This window comes from Homo sapiens, chromosome 18 (assembly GCF_000001405.40).
Source record: "Homo sapiens chromosome 18, GRCh38.p14 Primary Assembly".
In the NCBI taxonomy this organism is placed as follows: Eukaryota; Metazoa; Chordata; class Mammalia; order Primates; family Hominidae; genus Homo; species Homo sapiens.
In genome coordinates, this window is record NC_000018.10 from 2,521,105 (window position 1) to 2,540,279 (window position 19,175).

The 19,175-nt window shown below is 38.7% G+C and overlaps 1 protein-coding gene across 5 annotated transcripts in view, besides 1 other annotated feature; it reads right to left on the reverse strand.

The window, feature by feature from the left end:
* Positions 14,472-15,011: an enhancer, noted in NCBI's record as "OCT4-NANOG hESC enhancer chr18:2535575-2536114 (GRCh37/hg19 assembly coordinates)". NCBI's record gives its function as "activates a minimal SCP1, AML or CMV promoter by ChIP-STARR-seq in primed H9 embryonic stem cells {active_cell/tissue: H9 hESC(primed)}" and the evidence as "EXISTENCE:reporter gene assay evidence [ECO:0000049][PMID:30033119]".
* The window catches only part of METTL4 (methyltransferase 4, N6-adenosine), a 33,976-nt gene continuing 31,226 nt past the window's right edge, over positions 16,426-19,175 (reverse strand). For all 5 annotated transcript variants that reach the window (XM_005258133.4, XM_011525730.4, XM_005258132.5 and 2 more), the window contains one exon: positions 16,426-18,041. In XM_005258133.4, the coding sequence (XP_005258190.1) occupies positions 17,896-18,041 (146 nt within the window). In that variant the 3' untranslated portion in view covers positions 16,426-17,895. The remainder of the gene's footprint in view (positions 18,042-19,175) is intronic.

Below are 19,175 nucleotides of genomic sequence, written 5' to 3' on the forward strand. Positions count from 1 at the left end.
ACACACTAATGCATTATATCTGGGAACTAAAATTTCCACTCACTCCACCAAAAACCTCCCTTCCCTACATTAACCTTCAACTTTAATACAAACATTTCCAATCCAGTATTAACCACATCTTTCTCAAGTTCCTACCATGCATGAAGCATGGTGCTGGGAGCTAAAGATCCAAAAGGGAAGAGTCAGGGAGGAGGCTGAAAACTGCATGAGCTCAGCTGTCCCATTGTGTGTAACAGAATAGAACAACCTTGAGACATGTTGTGTACAAGCATAATCAAAATACTTGACTTTTTTTAACTTGAGAGTTTTTTTCTCTTTATGTTCTTTTACTTAATAACTTTCAGAAATTTCAAGAGAGCAAAAATATATTTTCTGAAATTAAAAGCTTTTAGAGTATCAAGCTTACAATAGAACATTGTGTCCTCAGAGACAATAAACCATCTGTCCTATCAATATGTTTAAAATCCTAGTGATATAATGCCAAATATAGTATATTTCCGAGTCTTAACAAATGGAAAGGTTGACAGAATCTCAAGGCCCTTATTCCTCCACGGACTGCCCAACTCCATCATAGATCCAAGAGTGGGTTTCAGAACCTCGTCTATTATAAGCTTGGACAGATCAAGTGTAAATGCAGAGACCACTTTGTCTAGAGTTAGGCTTGGGCTGGACTGTCCATGTGTCCTCTGGGCCCTGCCATATTGCCTGCTGGGCTTTCCAAGGCACCCTCCCAAGTGAAAGAAGAGGTAGCCCTGGGCCCTTCTTTCCAGCCATTGGAGAGAAGAGACAAGAGGGGAATAGAAAGAAAGGGAAGGAAAAGAAAGGAGAAAGGAAGAGATCCAAAAGTAAATGGCCACCCCCAAAAAGTAACATGTGAAGAAAAGCACTTTCAGCCTCTTCATACTTCCCTCTGAAACTTTCCCCTTTATGCCAAGCTCCACCCCATGGTCTAGATATATGGACCTGAGGACTTCATTCTAGATCAACCTTCTTTTCTCTAGGAGGGAGGGAGGGGCAAGTATGAGTTCAGCTGGGCTTTTCCTCCCGTGCCTTCCACCATGAGAAAGTCATGTCCTATTCAAGGCTGTTCCTCTGGCCTGAGACACTGAATGAGAAGATGTGCATAGTGTCTGAATCTGACCTGTGATCTGAAGCAGAACCATGCCAGCCAACCCGCAACTACAAACATACAGAGTGAGAAATAAATCATGTTAATGTAAACCACTGAGATTTTGAAGTGGTTTACTGTTACGCAGTGTAACCCAGCAAACACTACCTAATTAATCTCCCCAAATAAGTCATGCAACTGTGTTTGCCCCATTACTCCTCAGCTGACACAATCGAGTCAATAACTTAATTGTAGCCTCTTCTGGCTTTCCATCTCCCAAAATCTTTTTAATGTCCCATAAAACCCTTGTGATTTGGACACCATTACCCAACCCTCCCTTACTCAGCTTTAGCTCTCTGGCTTCCTTGCTCTGTCTCAAACCTACCAGATTTACTCCCCACCCAGAACCTTTGCATCTGTTGTTCCCAATGCCTGGCACGCTCTCTTTCTAGATATCTAGTGTCTTGCTGTCTCACCTCCTTCCAGTCTTGCTCAGGAGACCTTGCTAACCACACTACTTAAAAGTGACCCCACCCCAGCTCTCTGCACATCCTTTCACTGCTTATTTTTCTCTAAGAAACTTACTACTTTCCATAATATATGTATTGATTATTAATATTATATACTGACTTGCTCTCCTTATTAAAAAGTATGCACCATTTCTGTCTGTTTTGTTCCTGACTAACCCAGTATCGTGGAGGACTCATAGAAAGTGTTCAACATCTTTAAAGTGCTGGGGGAAAAAAATCAAGAATTCTATAGCCAGTAAAACTACTTTTCAAAAATAAAGATAATTAAGTGTTTAAAATAAAAATGATAGTATGTCACAGAGCTTATAATATATGTAGAAATAAAATCTAAAAGAATAGCAAAAAGGATGGAAGAGGGCAATGGAAGCATACTGTTGTAGAGCTCTTATATATAGTCTAATGTTATTTGAAGGTAGTCTATGACAAGCTAGAGTTAGGAGTTGTAAACCCTAGATAAACCATTTAAAAAGAAAAACAGTAGAGATAACTTTTGAAGTCAATACTGAAGATAAAATGGAATCATAAAAAAACAATAAATCCAAAAGAAGTTGGGTAAAAAGGGAAGAAGGAAGAACAGATAGCTCAAATAGAAAAAAAAATGGCAGATGTAAACCCAATCATATAACTACATTCAATATAAATAATCTAAATATTCCAATTAAAAGAGATTTTCAGGCTTGGCACAGTGGCTCACACCTGTAATCCCAGCACTTTGGGAGGCCAAGGTGGGCAGATCACCTGAGCTCAGGAATTTAAGGCCAGCGTGGGCAACATGGTGAAACACCCATCTCTACTAAAAATACAAAAATTAGCCAGGCACGGTGATGTACACCTGTAGTCCCAGCTACTCGGGAGGCTGAGGCAGGAGGATCATTGAGCCCACTAGTTCAAGACCTGCCTGGGCAACATAGTGAGCCTGGAAGGCAGAGGTTGCAGTGAACTGAGATTGTGCCACTGCATTCCAGCCTGGGCGACACAGCAAGACATTGTCTCCAAAAAAAAAAAAAAAAAAAAGGCAGAGAGAAATTTTCTAATGTTTTTAAAAAACAAAAAGCAACAGTGTTCTTTCTATAACAAAACCACTTTAATAAAAGGGCATAGATAAATTAAAAATAAAATGAGAAAGAAGATATTCCATAAAGACACTAATTATAAGAAAGCTGGAGTGGCTATGTTAATATCAGCCAGTAGATTTAAAGGCAAGAAATATCAGCAGGGATAAAGATGGATATTTAACAATGATAAATGAACATAATCTCAAATGTGTATGCATTAAAAAATAAAGCTTTCAAAATTCACGAAGCAAGTTGGGCATGGTGGTGCCTACCCTGTCCCAGCTACTCAGGAGGCTGAGGCAGGAGGATCATTGAGCCCAGTAGTTCAAGACTTTCCTGGGCAACATGGTGAGACCCCATCTTACAAAAAAAATTCATGAAACAAATGCTGACAGAAATAAAATAAATACACAAATCAAAAAGCATAGCTGGAAATTTCAGTAACTGATAAATACACATAAAATAAGTAAGTATATGCCAGGCACAGTGGCTCATGCCTGTAATCCTAGCACTTTGGGAGGCCGAGGCCGGCAGATTGCCTGAGCTCAGGAGTTTGAGACCAGCCTGGGCAAAACAGTGAAACCCTATCTCTACTAAAATAAAACAACAACAACAAAAATTACCTGGGCATGGTGGTGTGCACCTGTAATCCCAGCTACTCGGGAGGCTGAGGCACGGGAATTGCTTGAACCCGGAAGGCAGAGCTTGCAGTGAGCCAAGATCACACCACTGCACTCCAGCCTGGGAGAGAGAGCGAGATGCTGTCTCCCAAAAAATAAACAAATAAGTATATAAAAGACCTGAACAACACTATAAACCAATTTTACCTATTAAACTTTTACAGAACATTCCAACTAACAATAGCAGAATACTATTTTTATAAATACACATGAAATATTCACCAAAATAAACCATATGCTGGGTGATAAAATAAGTCTCAATGAAATTTAAAAAAGATTTAAATTTATGCTTGGAATTTAACCAAAATCTCAACTGTGGCCTTGAGCAAGTCATTTAATTTATTACCACCTCTGTAAAGCAAGCTAACAACATTGCTTCACAAATGTTATAAAGATTAAACTAATTCCTGAATAAAAGTTCTTAATCAGTGTCTGACACATGACAGCTGATAGTGCTGATTTTGTCGTTGTCATTATCCTTAACTTGTGTTAGACTAAAGACCTCCCAAACGCAGTCAAGAACTGCTTATCAGTTAAATTCAAAAGAAAAACCCTCACTGGAAGCCATTATCTTCAGCAAACTAATGCAGGAACAGAAAAACAAACACCACATGTTCTCACTTATAAGTGGGAGCTGAACAATGAGAACACATGGACACAGGGAGGGGAACAACACACACTGGGACCTGTTGTGGGAGGGAAGGCAGGGGGAGAGAATTAGGGAAAAGAGCTAATGCATGCTGAGCTTAATACCTAGGTGATGGGTTGATAGGTGCAGCAAACCACCAGAGCACATGTTTACCTACGTGACAAACTTGCACATCCTGCACATGTACCCTAGAACTTAAAAAAATAAAATAAATATTAAAAACTAAAAAAGAAAGAATAGCCTTCCAATATATATGCGTATATCAATAATGGTGGTGATCTTAGCCAAGGGAAGACTAAAACACAGGAATCTTCCTGCATCTATCATCATTATTTTGGCCTCAAGACAATCAATTTCAATTCTGATATCAATGTAAAATTATTAATTTACATGTCATTGCAGATAATGCAAAAGCAAAGCTAATCCACTCAGGTGAATCAGAATCTCATTTTCAGCACTGAAGGTCCCTATGCTCACATGTCTGCTCCAATTTTTCAACTAAAAAGTTTTTCTTCAATTTAGAATATACTGTCTTTAAAGTTTCTATCAATCTAAGGCACTCAAAAAAGGAAAAGTTCATTGAGATGGTATGGCAAATGAGAAAGAATGAAGTGACGACAAAATGCAAGAGCTGAAGGACTCATAGAAAATGAGAAAATGAGGCCAGGCACAGTGGCTGACGCCTGTAATCCCAGCACTTTGGGTGGCCAACGTGGATGGATCACCTGAGGTCAGAAGTTCGAGACCAGCCTGACCAACATGGAGAAACCCTGTCTCTACTAAAAATACAAAATTAGCCAGGCATGGTGGCGCATGCCTGTAATCCCAGCTACTCGGAAGGCTGAGGCAGGAGAATCGCCTGAACCTGGGAGGTGGAGGTTGCGGTGAGCCAAGATTGTGCCATCGCACTCCAGCCTGGGCAACAAGAGTGAAACTCTGTCTCAAAAACAAAAAAGAAAAAGAAAATGAGAAAATGAATAAAGGTTGAAAATTACAAATATAATTTAGATAAGATAATCCTTTGTAATTATAGCTACACTTTGGGAATTTTATGTAACACAATAAGAGCTTTATTATTCCACAGATATCCTGCCTATTCACAGTCATCATTTTATTGATCCTCAGATAATAATGCTTCTTACTGCAGTTTCAAAGGAACTGGATGATTTTATCCACTTGTCACCTTCATCAAGACAGAAAATACTTCCTGTTCTCAGTTGGTCTCAAGAAATATGTGAAAGTTCTCAAGATTATAAATTAGTGATTTCTGCAGGTTGGCACTTCATAGATGGCTATGCAGTAAGAGCCATAACAGCATGTACCATCTGCTGTGATCTGAATGTGTCCCTCCAAAATGTGTATCTTGAAACCTAATCCACATTGTGTTAGCATTAAAAGGTACGGCCTTCCAGAAGTGATTGAGTCACGAGGGCTCCTCCCTCATGAATGGGATTACTGCCCTTATAAAGGAGGTTGAAGGGAACTCCCTTGTCCCTTCCACCATGCAAGGATGAGATGAGAAGCTGCTGTCCATGAGTGACAAGCCCTCTCCAGATATCAAATCTGGATCTTGGATTTCCCAGCCTCCAGACTGTAAGAAAATAATTTCTGTTGTTTTTAAATTAATTATTCTAAGATATTTTTGTGATAGCAACACAAATGGACTAAAACACCATCTCAGTCTAGACATCAGAAAACAAATAAGTATATGCTGATTCATTTTCATATTTATAAACAGAAAGTACAAAACTTTATGCTAAAAGCATATCCTGTCATTACTTACAGCAGCATCACATAGTACGGAATAAGAATGACTGTAGATAGTGGCCATTAAAGGGTTTAAAATCTTCTCTCCCTAGCTTTGAATCCTAGATCTGCCACTTACTAGCTGTGTGACCTTGAACAAGTACTATTATTTTTAATTTTTTAAAACTTTTCTTCCTCTCCTCACAGAACTTTCACTTTAATTGGTAAGTGTTAAATATCTTTGGATCTCCCTTTCACCATCTGTAAAATAGCTACTTTTCAAGGTTGCTGTGAGATTTATAAATAATAATGTAGGGGGTATATCTCTTATTTTTAAACTAGCTTTCTTTATAAACATAAAATATTTATAAAACTAAAGGTTGGAAAACACTTGTATAGTACTTAAGAGGACAAAATGATATTCATGTTTCTGTGTTGAAACAGGTTACTTTTATGTTAGGTTAAGACAATCCCAGTTGGGTTATGTTTCCAAGCAATTTCACCCCTAAAATGTATAAACAAAGTGTTTCACTTTTCACCTGAAATGTCACTTCTACCATTAAATGCCCCTTCCTTTCAAAAGAACTTTCATGATGTAGTTGAAAGTGATGGGTCGGGTGTGGTGGCTCACGCCTATAATCCCAGCACTTTGGGAGGCCGAGGCAGGCGTATCACCTGAGGTCAGGAGTTCGAGATCACCCTGGCTAACACGGCGAAACCCGCTCTCTACTAAAAACACAAAAATTAGCTGGGTGTGGTGGTGGACACTGGTAATCCCAGCTACTTGGGAGGCTGAGGCAGGAGAGAATTGCTTGAACCCGGGAGGCAGAGGTTGCAGCAAGCCAAGATCACACCACTGCACTCCAGCCTGGGCGATAGAGGGACATGCTGTCTCAAAAAAAAAAAAAAAAGTGATGTAACCTAGGCATTGAAAGCCTGGAGTTGAAACTTCATTACTTGTTAGCTCTATAAACTACAGTCAATGACTTCATTTCTCCAAATTCCAATTTTCTCAACTATAAAGTCTATACAATAACCTCCAATCCAGTCTATCTCAAGGAATTATAAGGAAAAATGCATAATTTATAGAATAGTTCTTTTAACCAGTAAGGGCATCAATATTTCCACAACCGAAAAATACTCAGCGAATACATTGATAAAATACGCAGGTTATTTCATGAAACCTTTACATTGCCATCTTTAAGACAATAATAATAATGGTACTTTGCCTTTTCTTAGTGAAGTAAATTTAGCAATGCAATTTTTTAGTAACGGCAAGAGTATTTGACTTGAAATTAAGAGATTTAGATTAATTTCCATTAGCCATTTAATATGCAATAGTGCTTTGTTCACTTTAATGTACAAATAATGTACAATAAAAAGTTATCCACTTATTTATGTGTTCAACTAGTATTTTTTAAACACCTACTATGTGCCAACACTGGTCTAGGCCTAAGGGTAGAGCAAAAAACAAAATACTGTTGTTTTTTTAAAAAGATTCAGGGGATACATGTGTAGATTTGTTACATGCATGTATTGTGTAATGGTGAGGTTTGAGCTTCTAATGGACCCGTTATCCAAACAGTGAATGCTGTACCCAATATGTAATTTTTCAATCCTTGACACCCCCATCCCTCCCCCCAGGACTGTTCATTTGAAGGAGACAGTGCAGCCTCTGATTTTGATACTCAAAACTATCATATGAGGTGAGCAGGTGAGGCTCAGAGATGTCAGTAGGCTTTACTAGGATCAATAATAAATTGTGGCAACTTCAATCCAGTTCTGATTCTTAACACAGTTATTCCACTATACTATTTTCTCTCTGAATAGGTATGCCTGATTCTTTAAAGAATAGCACTCTACTCAATTAGATTATACTATCCCTGGATGATCAAAACCCAGTTAGAGAAAAAGGCACTTATTCCCATAAGTTCTTCCAAGAACTACATTGCTTTATCTGCAATGAAATGGCAAGACTTATTCAAGAAGCTGTTTCCAGTTATTGGCCCATTTTCCAGCCCATTCTTTATAATAAGCCTCCTTAAAAGAGTGATTTATATTCATTCTCTTCATCTTCCTTCCCTCTATTGTCTCTTTAATTCACTCTAGTTAGGCTTTTATCCCACTCTTCCAGTAAAATCACTCGTGTCAAGGTGACCAATAACGTCTCTCTTGCCAAATCTGATGGGCATTCATCTTACGCCAAACATATGCAGCATTGACACAGTTGATTACCTCCTCTTTGTTTAAGCATTTTCTTCAATTGGCTTCAGAAATTTCCATCTGTTTCTTGCCCTCCCATATACCCTTCCTTTTCCATCGTCCCATCTTTTCGCATCTTCTCTTTCTAACTTCCTTACCTGGGGTGGAAGAATTAGTGGCAGGCAGAGGTGGAGGGGTGAAGAGAAAGTATGTGAAGCATCTTGGCAGCCTGCCTACTGGTGTCCAAGGATGTGGGACATGAAGCAATGAGTGAGGGGCGCTACGTCAAGCATGTTTTCAGCATACCTAACAGCACCCAAGAATGCAGGGCCCTGCAGGAGGCAGGAAGGATGATCTCACAGCAGCTACCCGCACAAAGGCACACTGGCAATTTTCCGCAGATTGAGCTACAGATTCCATTTATCTCCGATCAAAACCCAGGAGGCTTTTTTATAGACACTGACAATCTGATCCTAAAATTTATGAGGAAGTTCAAAGTACCTACAATAGCCAAAATGACTTTGAAAAAGAAAAAGAAAGTTTATGGACTTATCCTATCTGATTTCAAGGCTTACTATATAACAGGAGTAATCAAGACTCTGGTGTTGAAAGACATATAAATTAATGGATTAGAATAGAGAACTCAGAAATAAATCCACACAATCATAAGCAAAAAAAAAAAAGAAAAAAAAGAATGACTAGGCGCAGTGGCTCATGCCTCTAATCTCAGCACTTTGGGAGGCCGAGGTGGGCAGATCACCTGAGGTCAGGAGTTTGAGACCAGCCTGGCCAACATGGAGAAACCCCAACTCTACTAAAGATACAAAAATTAGCCGGGCGTGGTGGCGCATGCCTGTAATTCCAGCTACTTGGGAGGCTGAGGCAGAAGAATCGCTTGAACCTGGGAGGTGGATGTTGCAGTGAGCTGAGATCGCACCTTTGCACTCCCGCCTGGGCTACAAGAGCGAAACTCCATCTCAAAACAAACAAAAACAAGAGAACCTAGACTTAAACCTCACACCTCATACAAAAATAATTCAAAATTATTATGGATTTAAATATAAAACATGAAATGTTTATAAAATAGGAGAAAATATTGATGACCTAAGGATAGGCAAAGAGTTCTTAGACTTAACACCAAAAATATAATCAATAAAAGGAGAAATTCATGAATTGGACTTCATTGAAATTAAAATCTTTATTCTGTGAAAGACCCTATGGGTTGCACATGGTGGCTCACGCCTGTAATCCCAGCACTGTGAGAGGCCAAGGCAGGCGAATCACGACGTCAGGAGATGGAGACCATGCTGGCTAACACAGTGAAATCCTGTCTCTACTAAAAAATACAAAAAATTAGCCAGGTGTGCTGGCGGGCACCTGAAGTCCCAGCTACTCAGGAGGCTAAGGCAGGAGAACGGCGTGAACCCTGTAGGGGCGCTTGCAGTGAGCCGAGATGCGCCACTGCATTCCAGCCCGGGTGACAGAGCGAGACTCCGTCTCAAAAAAAAAAAAGAAAGAAAGAAAGACTCCATGAAGAGGATGTAAAATTGGTGAAATCGGAATAACTTCTGTGGGTGATACCAATGTGTATTTCCCAACTTTGATATTGTACAATGGTTATACAAGATGTTACCATGAAGAGAAACTAGATAAAGCAAGACCTCTCTGTATGTACAGTATTTCTCCAACTTCCTGTGAATCTATCGTTATTTCAAAATAAAACTTTAAAGCAAACAAAAGACATTGTTGTGAACATTAAAAGGCAAGTCTGAGGCTAAGAGAAAATATTTGCAAAACCGATTAACTAGAGAATTTCATCAAGTACATATAAAGAGTACTTACAATTCAAAAATATAAAAACCGAATAAAACACAGGCAAAGATTTGAACAGATTCTTCCCCAAAAATACACAGATGTTAAATAAGTACATGAAAGGGTGCTCAAAATCATTCTCACTAGGGAAATGCAAATTAAAACCACAATGAGATATTACTCCCTCTAGTAGCTAAAATGTAAAAGACTGACCATTGTAAGTGTCGACAAGACTGTGAAGGAACAAGAGAGTTCTCATTCACTGCTTGCAGGGAATATAAAATAGTACAACCACTATGAAAAACTCTCTGGCCTTTTTTTTTTTTTTGGAGATGGAGTCTCACTCTGTCACCCAGGCTGGAGTGCAGTGACATGATCTTGGCTCACTGCAACCTCTAACTCTAGCCATTTCTTTAAATGTTAAACGTGCATCCTTCGAGCTGGAGCTGCAAGGTAAAAATTAAAAAAAAAAAAAAATTTAAGGCTGGCCACAGTGACTCATGTCTGTAACTCCAACATTTTGGGAGGCCGAGGCAGGCAGATAACTTGAGGTCAGGAGTTCAAGACCAACCTGGCCAACATGAAATGCCATCTCTACTAAAAATACAAAAATTAGCCAGGCATGGTGGCAGGTGCCTATAATCCCAGCCACGTGGGAGGCTGAGGCAGGAGAATCACTTGAACCCAGGAGGCAGAGGTTGCAGTGAGCTGAGATTGTGCCGCTGTACTGCACTCCAGCCTGGGCAACAGAGCGAGACTCCATCTCAAAAGAAAAAAAAAAACTGTTTAAACTTAGACCTACCATATAACTTGACATTCCACTCTGAGGTATGTACCCAAGAGAAATGAAAGTATAGAGTCACACAAAAACATACACATGACTATTCTTAGACACTTTATTTATAATAGCCCCAGACTAGAACACAAATGTCCATCAACAAAATTAAAGTAGAAAAATTCTCAGAATGGCCCACATCTTAATCCCCTCCCCTTTGATTTGGGTAGAACCTGTGACTATGAAGAAATATCACTCTCATGATTATGTTACCATATATGGCAAAAACGAGATTATCTGATGGGCCCAATCTAGTCACAAAAGCTCTTTAAAAATGGAGCATTTTCTCTGGCTGATAGCAGAAGGCAAGTCAGAGAGATTGGAAGCACAAGAAGAATTTGATACACTCTTAATGACTCTGAAGATGGAGGGGGCACAGCCTCCAGTTGCTGAGAGAAAGCGCTGCTGACAGAAAATAAAGAAGCAGGGACCTCAGTCCTACAACCACATGGAACTGGATTCTGTCAACAACCTGAATGAGCTTGGAAGCAGACTCTTCCCCAGAGCCTTCAGAAAATGGCCCAGCCTGACCAGACTTTGCTTTGGGCCTGGGAGACTCTATGCAAAGAATCTAGTAGTCTGCCTGTCTTACCTAGTGTTTTTGTTTTTGTTTTTGTTTTTTGATACAAGGTCTTCCTCTGTTGCCCAGGCTGGAGTGCAGTGGCATGATCTCAGCTCACTGCAACCTCTTCTTCCCAGGCTCAAGTGATCCTCCCACCTCAGCCTCCCAAGTAGCTGTGACCACAAATGCACACCACCACACCTAGCTAATTTTTTGTATTTTTTGTAAAGAAGGGGTTTCACCCTGTTGCTTAGGCTGGTCTCAAACACCTGAGCTCAAGCAGTTCGCCCACCTCAGCCTCCCAAAGTGCTGGGACTACAGGTGTGAGCCACCATGCCTGGCCCTAGTGTTGTTTTAAAATGACTATGTTTGTGGTAATTTGTTACACAACAATAGAAAACTGTTACATATTTTGGTATCTGGAAATGCAGGGATGTAATAACAAATATGTAAAATATGGTTCTGAATTGGACAGAGGGGCAGAGGCTGGAAGGATTTTAAGGAGCATAATAAATGTCTCTAAAAGACTTAGTAGAAATCTGAATGTTAAAAATGCTGCTGGCGAGGGCTCATGAAGAAGTGAGGAACATGTCATTGGGAACTACAGAAACAGAAATCCTTATCATGCAAAGGCAGAATACTTAGCAAACTTACGACCTGCAGTTGTGTGGAAAACAGAATTCAAAAACAATGAATTTGAATATTTAGCTGAGGAGATCTCCAAGCAAAGTGTTGAGTGTGCTGCCTGGTTTCTTCCTGCTGCTTTTAGTAAAATACAGGAGGAGACAAATTGAGAAAAGAAATGATAAGGTTTCAAGACCTGCTGATTTGGGAAATTCTTGGCCTATCCAGGTGGCAAGAGATGCCAAAAGTAAAAGATTGTTCTGAAAACATGTTATAAAGAAGAGGCTGGGCTCTTCGCTGACACCTTGGAAAACCAAAGGGTCAGAGTGTTCAGCCACATAGAGTATCCTTCCAAGAGATTAAAAGTGTTCCTAATAAATCTGCTCAATCAATACAGAGGACCTATAGGAAATTTAAGGGCACTGGCCCTCAGCCATCTCAGCAGAAAAACAGAGGGATTATCTTGAAAAGATCTGTGGATTTGGCTCTAGGGAGGGAAGAAGGGAGGGGAGAGGAGGGAGGAGAGGGAAATGAAGAGAGAGGTATAGATATAGATATCGATGATATAGATAGAAATTTGTTCTAAGTGTTCTAAAAGAAGCATGCAAAAGGCTCACTTTGACAATAATTACCTGTGCTATAAAATAGGAGGTTTCACAGAGGTTACAGAGGTGGAAAAATAATTTAGAAACTCTTTGGTACTTTTGCATATTTTCTATAAGCCTAAAACTAGTCCAAAATAACAGTTTTTTTTTAAAGTGGGTCATGAAATTAGAGGTGTTGCCAGGAAGACTATAATTTTTTTTAAAATGAGCATATACAGAATACCTGCTAGGTTACTAGGTCCTATGCTAGGCACATTCAGTTATTTCATTTCATCCTCAAAATAATTCTATAAGGCCCAAAGATTAGCCTTCTTGTTCCTTAGAAAAGGAAGTTCAAGATAATATAGTTTAACTAATTGCTGAAAGTCACTCAGAAGCTAAATATATCCAGACTCAACATGTAGATCTAGCTGATCTCAAAGTCTAGCTAGTTTTTTCCTGGCAGAGAAAGTACCATGAGCAAAAGCATAGGCCTCAATCAGGTAACAGCATATAGTCCAGTCTGATTAACATTTAGGGAACATGTGGACAGTGTTGGGAGAAGCAATTTAAAAGCAGGTGGGGAACCATGTTTTTCCTTAATGATATTGACTAAAAACAGTTTTAATACTGCAACCACTCTATTTGCCTTACCCATCATCCAAAGGTATCCCATTGTCACAGCTACCCAACAACCAGGCCAACATCTCATCTGAGAAAATAAATTAAATCGTTTTCCTCATGCTCTCCACTACTAGATATCAATGTGTTTGTATATGGCTCCAGGGACTTGGATGGATACTGAAAAATCTAAGAGGTCCCACTCAAGTTCGCAGAAGCCCCAGGAGGTCTAGGTTAACCCCCCTAAGAATATTTAGGGGGAAAAGGCTGGTTGTGAAGTTATCATGGTAGTTCTGACTTATTTTCAAGCTGGTGCAGACTGGTCAATAGAGCTGTGAATTTAAACAAAACCCCGTCTGGAGTTATGAGTTGGCCCATATATCCAAACACTGGTATCAGATCACCATAAATTATCTACACTTGTGCTTACCTTACTTACTCCCTTTTCTAACTATCCATACAGCTTCAAATCCAGGTGAATATTTTGCAGAAGAGCTTCCTTAAAATGTGAGCTTAAAATGGCTCATCTGATTGAGTTGTTGAAATACAATGGCATGGTAAAAATGCTTATGGCTTATGTCAAAGGGTTTAGCAGCCCATCAGATTCTAAGTGATTCTGAGTTGACTGAGGCTATCAGTTCAACTAATGTCACTAAAATCTCTAACAAAAAATACTGTGTTAATAACACAAGAATGATGATGTGGTATATTGAGAAAGGTATGTTTGGGTGATTATATATGAACCATTCTACATTTGCCCCAGCCTATACAATGAACCTCTCTGATTAGTAGCTGATGGACCTACTATTAAGATCTCAAGTTCATTAGCAAACATGATATAACAAAAAGTGCCTTAATTTAGGAACCAGAATAGAATTCAAGTCTTGGTTATTAACCTTATGAGTAGCCTCTGTGACCCTATTCCCTCATTATACCTATACCTTTGTAAGATTGTTTTGAAGATAAAGTGAAACAATTAAAGTAAAAGAACTCTAATAACCACAGAACAGTGCCAATAGTGCTGTGGTGCTTACCAAGACATGGTAGGCCAGTGGTGCATGACATGAATCAAATGAGGTAAATCGGACAGCATCTTCAGGGAAGGGAAGGTCCTTTGAAGTGATTATAATCCTCTCAATCACATCAGGAGAAAAGCCAGCATCTGCCTGAAGCTGAATACATAAAAGTGCTCAAAAGATATGTGTAAGTTTGAGATGGTAAGATTTGGGGCCCATGATTCTCTTGTGAGAATGAGTTTGCATCATAGAATTTAGAGGACTAGAACAGGACAAGGTAAAGAGAGCCTGCAGCAAGGACAGAGCAAAGGCAGATCTAAAGCTAGGCCCAGATCTAGATCCAGACTTATATCCCCAGTGTCACAGACTAGGCTGAAGGCCACTGGCCCATGGTGATGTTGGCCTCCCTCAAAGGTTGGCATTCAAGAGAAGAAACCTATCCCATTGGTGCCTTTCAGACCATCTGAAGAAACAGGACTTCTTTACTTGGTCTGTGCCTTATCAACTGGAAAATCCCCTGGGTGGCAAATAAAGATCAACTTCCTAACACCTGCAGCAAAGTGTAACACATCTATTTTGAACCAAATTTACATGGCATGGGCCTGAAGTCTCTGAACATAGAAGAAACATAGAAGAAACATCATCGCTAAAAGGTGACCTATTTAGCACCTGTGGAATTCAACAAAGAGCAATGTAGAGTAGCTACACAGCTTAGTCAACATGGCAGGAGGCAATCAAAACACAAAGCCCAAAGCCACATGTGGCCCTTGTTTTAATTTGTTTCTTAGGCAGGACCGCAATAGGAAAGGAGATTTCATAGCTTCCTCATGTATGAAATCAGGTGCAGGTTCTGAACAAGAAAAAGATTAAGAAAAAAAGGATGCTTAGACAGAAAAACTGTATGGGCAGTTTAATAATGCTCAGGCAAAGGGATGGAACTAACATTTAACTTCCAGTGCGTTCCCTGATTGAGAGTCCAGACTGTGGTAAGAACTTTTTGACCTGAAATTTAAAAACAAAACAAAAAAAAAAAAAAAACTTGTCACATTTTTGGAGTGCTTAAAATATTCCAAGCACTATTACAAGTGCCTTGCATGTATTAAGTCATTTAATCCTCATAACAACTCTATGAGGTAGTATTATTATCACCTATATGCATGAATGAACACCAAGGCCTAAAGATTTAATTAACTTGCTCAAAGCCAAAAGCCAGTTGGGTTCAAATCTACACAAGCTGGCTTTAGACTGCACTGACTGTGCCACACTGTACCGCCTTAGGTACAAAAAAGATCTTGTGTCTACAGTGGCCAAGAGAAAAAAAAAAAACTGGGTCAAACTTTGACTAGAGGGTACAAATAAAGGCTGAGGAAGAAAGGAGGACAAATGATAAAAAGATCAGGTTTTTTAAAGAGAATCTGTTTCTAAGAGTAGTTGTGATTTTGTGTGTTTTGTATTCTGTGATTTTACTCTGCCGGATCTCATGTAGAAGGGTGAAAGAGTCAGAGAAAGGCCAAGAATTCCAAGGATATGACGTTATGAGGCACAATTCCCCCAGTTTCTTGAGTGGTGTTAGCAGTTAAGCACACAGAAGCAAAAGAGCTCGAGGGGGAATGCTAGAGTGTAATCCTATCACTTGAGAAATCCTTAGTCATTTGCTCAGTTTTCCACGTTTTTACATAGAATACAGCATGGGCTATGGAGTCAGGAAACTGTGCATCCTAGTTCTGACACTTGCTGTGTGTTTACAGACAAAATAGTCCCCTGGGCTTCAGCTTTCTCAACTATTAAATGAAGGTTGTATCTATCTCTCAGGGTTATACGAGGATTAAATGCAGTAAGTAGAAAGCATACCGGAGTAACATACACTACTCAACAAATGTTAGCCGCACCCCTTTGCCTAAGCATTATTACCAAGAGTCCTAAAAGACCTTAAGCCTGTAAAAAGAATGTGATAGAAAAAAACCCCACAAAATTCTTACAAGTTATAAAAATAATATAGGAAGGTCTGAATGAAAACGCTCTAAAATATGTAAGTCCAACAGGTCAGTTGGCTAAACCAACTGTAGTAATGAAGTCAAAGTTTGATGTTCATCTTCCTTCATTTTTGTTCTACAAGGTATGTTATTAAAATTTGCAGACTCCTTTGTTTAAAAGGAGCCCAATAATTAAACTGGTGTTAAAACAAGGTCCAGAGGTTTCACAACTTCGGAGTAAAGCTAAAACTAGTACTCTTGCAACGTGAATAATAGACTCATTGAATTAAGATTCTCTCTTTTTTCTTTCAGTACCCGTGTTTATGATGCAAAAATAAAAGTCCAAAAACTTGGTGAGGATAAAATGTTCCCACAAAGTATATAAAATCTATAAATACCAAAAGAAGCTGGAAAGAATTCAAATGAGATCATGAGAAGTTTGCTTCAAGTTTAATACCTTTTTCCTTTTAAATAACAAGTTAGAATAGCTCCATAAATACAAAATTAAGCCTCTGATACTATACTCACACACTCAAAGGATGAACAAACTTCAAAAATAACATATTTTTCTTTGACAAAATCAGTAAATTGGCAAGCTTGTCAAAGAATCATTTCAGTCTAACATTTTACTTAGTGGATAAATATTTGTCAACAATCTGTAAATAGTATAAATGCTTTTCTCAAAATGCTACGTGAAAGAAGCCAGGCACAATAGATTACACATTGCATGATTCCATTTATATGAAATTCTCAAACAGCAGAACTAATGATAGAAAGCAAACCAGTGTTTGCCAGGGGCCAAGGATAGGAGCAGGGGATTGACTGCAAAAGGAAAAATGAGAAGTTTTCAGGGTAAAGAAAGTGTTCTGTATCATGATCACTGTGGCAGACAGACAACTGTATATATGTTTTCAAAATTCACTGAATTTGACACTGAAAATTGGAGAATTTTGTGAAAATTATACCTCAATTTTTAAAAAGTCAATACATAATAAATCAATATGCATTTCAAAGAATCATTTCAGTCAAAATATTTTACTTGGTAGACAAATATTTATTTGTAGAAAATCTATAAATAATATTTTTTTCACAATCACACTGTTTACTTGCTGCCATGTTTATTATAAGGAATAGCTTTTCATTTTCTTCTAGAAAAACAAGCAAAACCAGAAAGTGCTTGGAAAGTGACCTTGAATGCAATTTAAAACCCTACAAAAATGCTGTATAAACTCAGTATACTAATGCAGTATTTGGCAGATCTTTGAATATTTTCTCCAGAACATAACAGTATACCAGAGGTTGCAAATTCAGGTCATACAAGGGCCAAGTGGATGACATAAGTGAGCAGCATGGTGGCAGTGGTACTGTGGCAAAGTGGAGAGCACAAGGCTCTTCCCAAGTGAGCCACCACCGCTTGGTCCTGCAGACTGATGCCAGGAAAGAACAAAGGCCTCTGTGTAGCCAGAGCCTCTGATGTTTAAAAAGAAGCAGAAATCTGGACTTTAATGTGAAATAGCCCCATTTTTTAGAATAATGGTTCTAAGTGTTTTTTACAACACTGTATGGGTCACACAAAACACATCCATAGATAGGATTAAGACCTCTGGTCCACGGTGTATGTTTTCTGAACTTTTTCAATAGCATGGTCTTGCCGTCTTTATAACTGCTTACCACTTAATTTGTATAGTCTAGAATAACATAGAATGTTAGTGCAACTCAAGTAAAATTCATCTTAAAATTACATGAAGGCTAGTCACTTCTGGTCCCTTACTGAAAAAAACAAGTCCTGTTTATATTCTAAGAATATGGGTTGGTAACAAAATAAAAAAATGACTTAGAATTAAGGGAAAAGTGGTGAGGAAACAATGAAGAAACCACTACTTTAATCAAGATCATAGTCAGCTTCCAGACTCCACAGCAATAAAATAATCCACATGCTGAAATTTGAGAACTTCATTGCCCCAACTAGTCCAACCTGGCTGTAAATTTCGAGCAAACAACTCCAAATATTCCCCATCTGGCTTGATGTAGTCTTTTAAAACCTCTGTTTAAAAAAGAGAAAAAACACAAAAATTATTATTGAGGAAGGAATCCACTTCCTTTTAGCAGTTAAGAGTAGAAACAGAGAAATATTTCATTTTGTTCTTAAAAGACAGCAAATTAATTTCAAGGATTTCATCACAGGCTTTACTATTTATAGTTAGAAAGCCATTTAAAATAAGTACCCTTGAGACTGGGAACAATATCATCTGAACTTCCATAGTCCTGGTTTACTGGTTTCATTTGTAGATGAGAAATGAGGACTTTAACACCTACTAGGTGACTTTTCAGTTTTCCAATACTGCTGATATATCTCCTGAGTATTAACTTTATTTATTTAATTTTTTTTTTTTTTTTGAGACAAGAGTCTCGCACTGTCACCCAGGCTGGAGTGCAATGGTGCAATCTCGGCTCACTGCAACCTCCACCTCCCGAGTTCAAGCAATTCTCCTATCTCAGCCTCCCAAGTAGCTGGGATTACAGGCACACGTCGCCACTCCCAGCTAATTTTTTGTATTTTAGTAGAGATGGGGTTTCACCGTGTTCCCCAGGCTGGTCTCGAACTCCTGACCTCAGGCAATCCACTCGCCTCGGCCTCCCAAAGTGCTAGGATTACAGGCAGGAGCCACCGCACCCAGCCAATTTATTTTTAATAAATATAACCCATACATGAAAAAGAGCTCTAAAAAAAATTGAAAAACAACCCATTTAAAAAAAAAAAAGACAAAAGTCTGTCTGCAATATAAACTTTAATAAAATAATAATAAATGAAGAGCTGGATAGAGATAGAAATACTGAGAACAAATAACTAACATTTAAATAACTAGCCCCCTTAGCAGTAAATTGGTAGCACTAAAAACATTTCTTCATTTTCAAATTATAGATCCTTCTTTACCTAAAATTTCATCATGGTACTTCCACAGTTAAGTATTCCTTGTATTATTCAATGTATTAATAACTACTGAACATTGTATTTTGTTGGGGAAAGAGCTGTAGGCTAAAGAGCTGTTGTCTACACTAAAAGAAAAGAAGAACACAGAAACTTTTTGAAAAGCACATGTTCACTCAATTGGATGACAAATACTTAAATCAATTTAATCTTGATCATGCTGCTGGTTAGCTATGCTAACCACCTAAT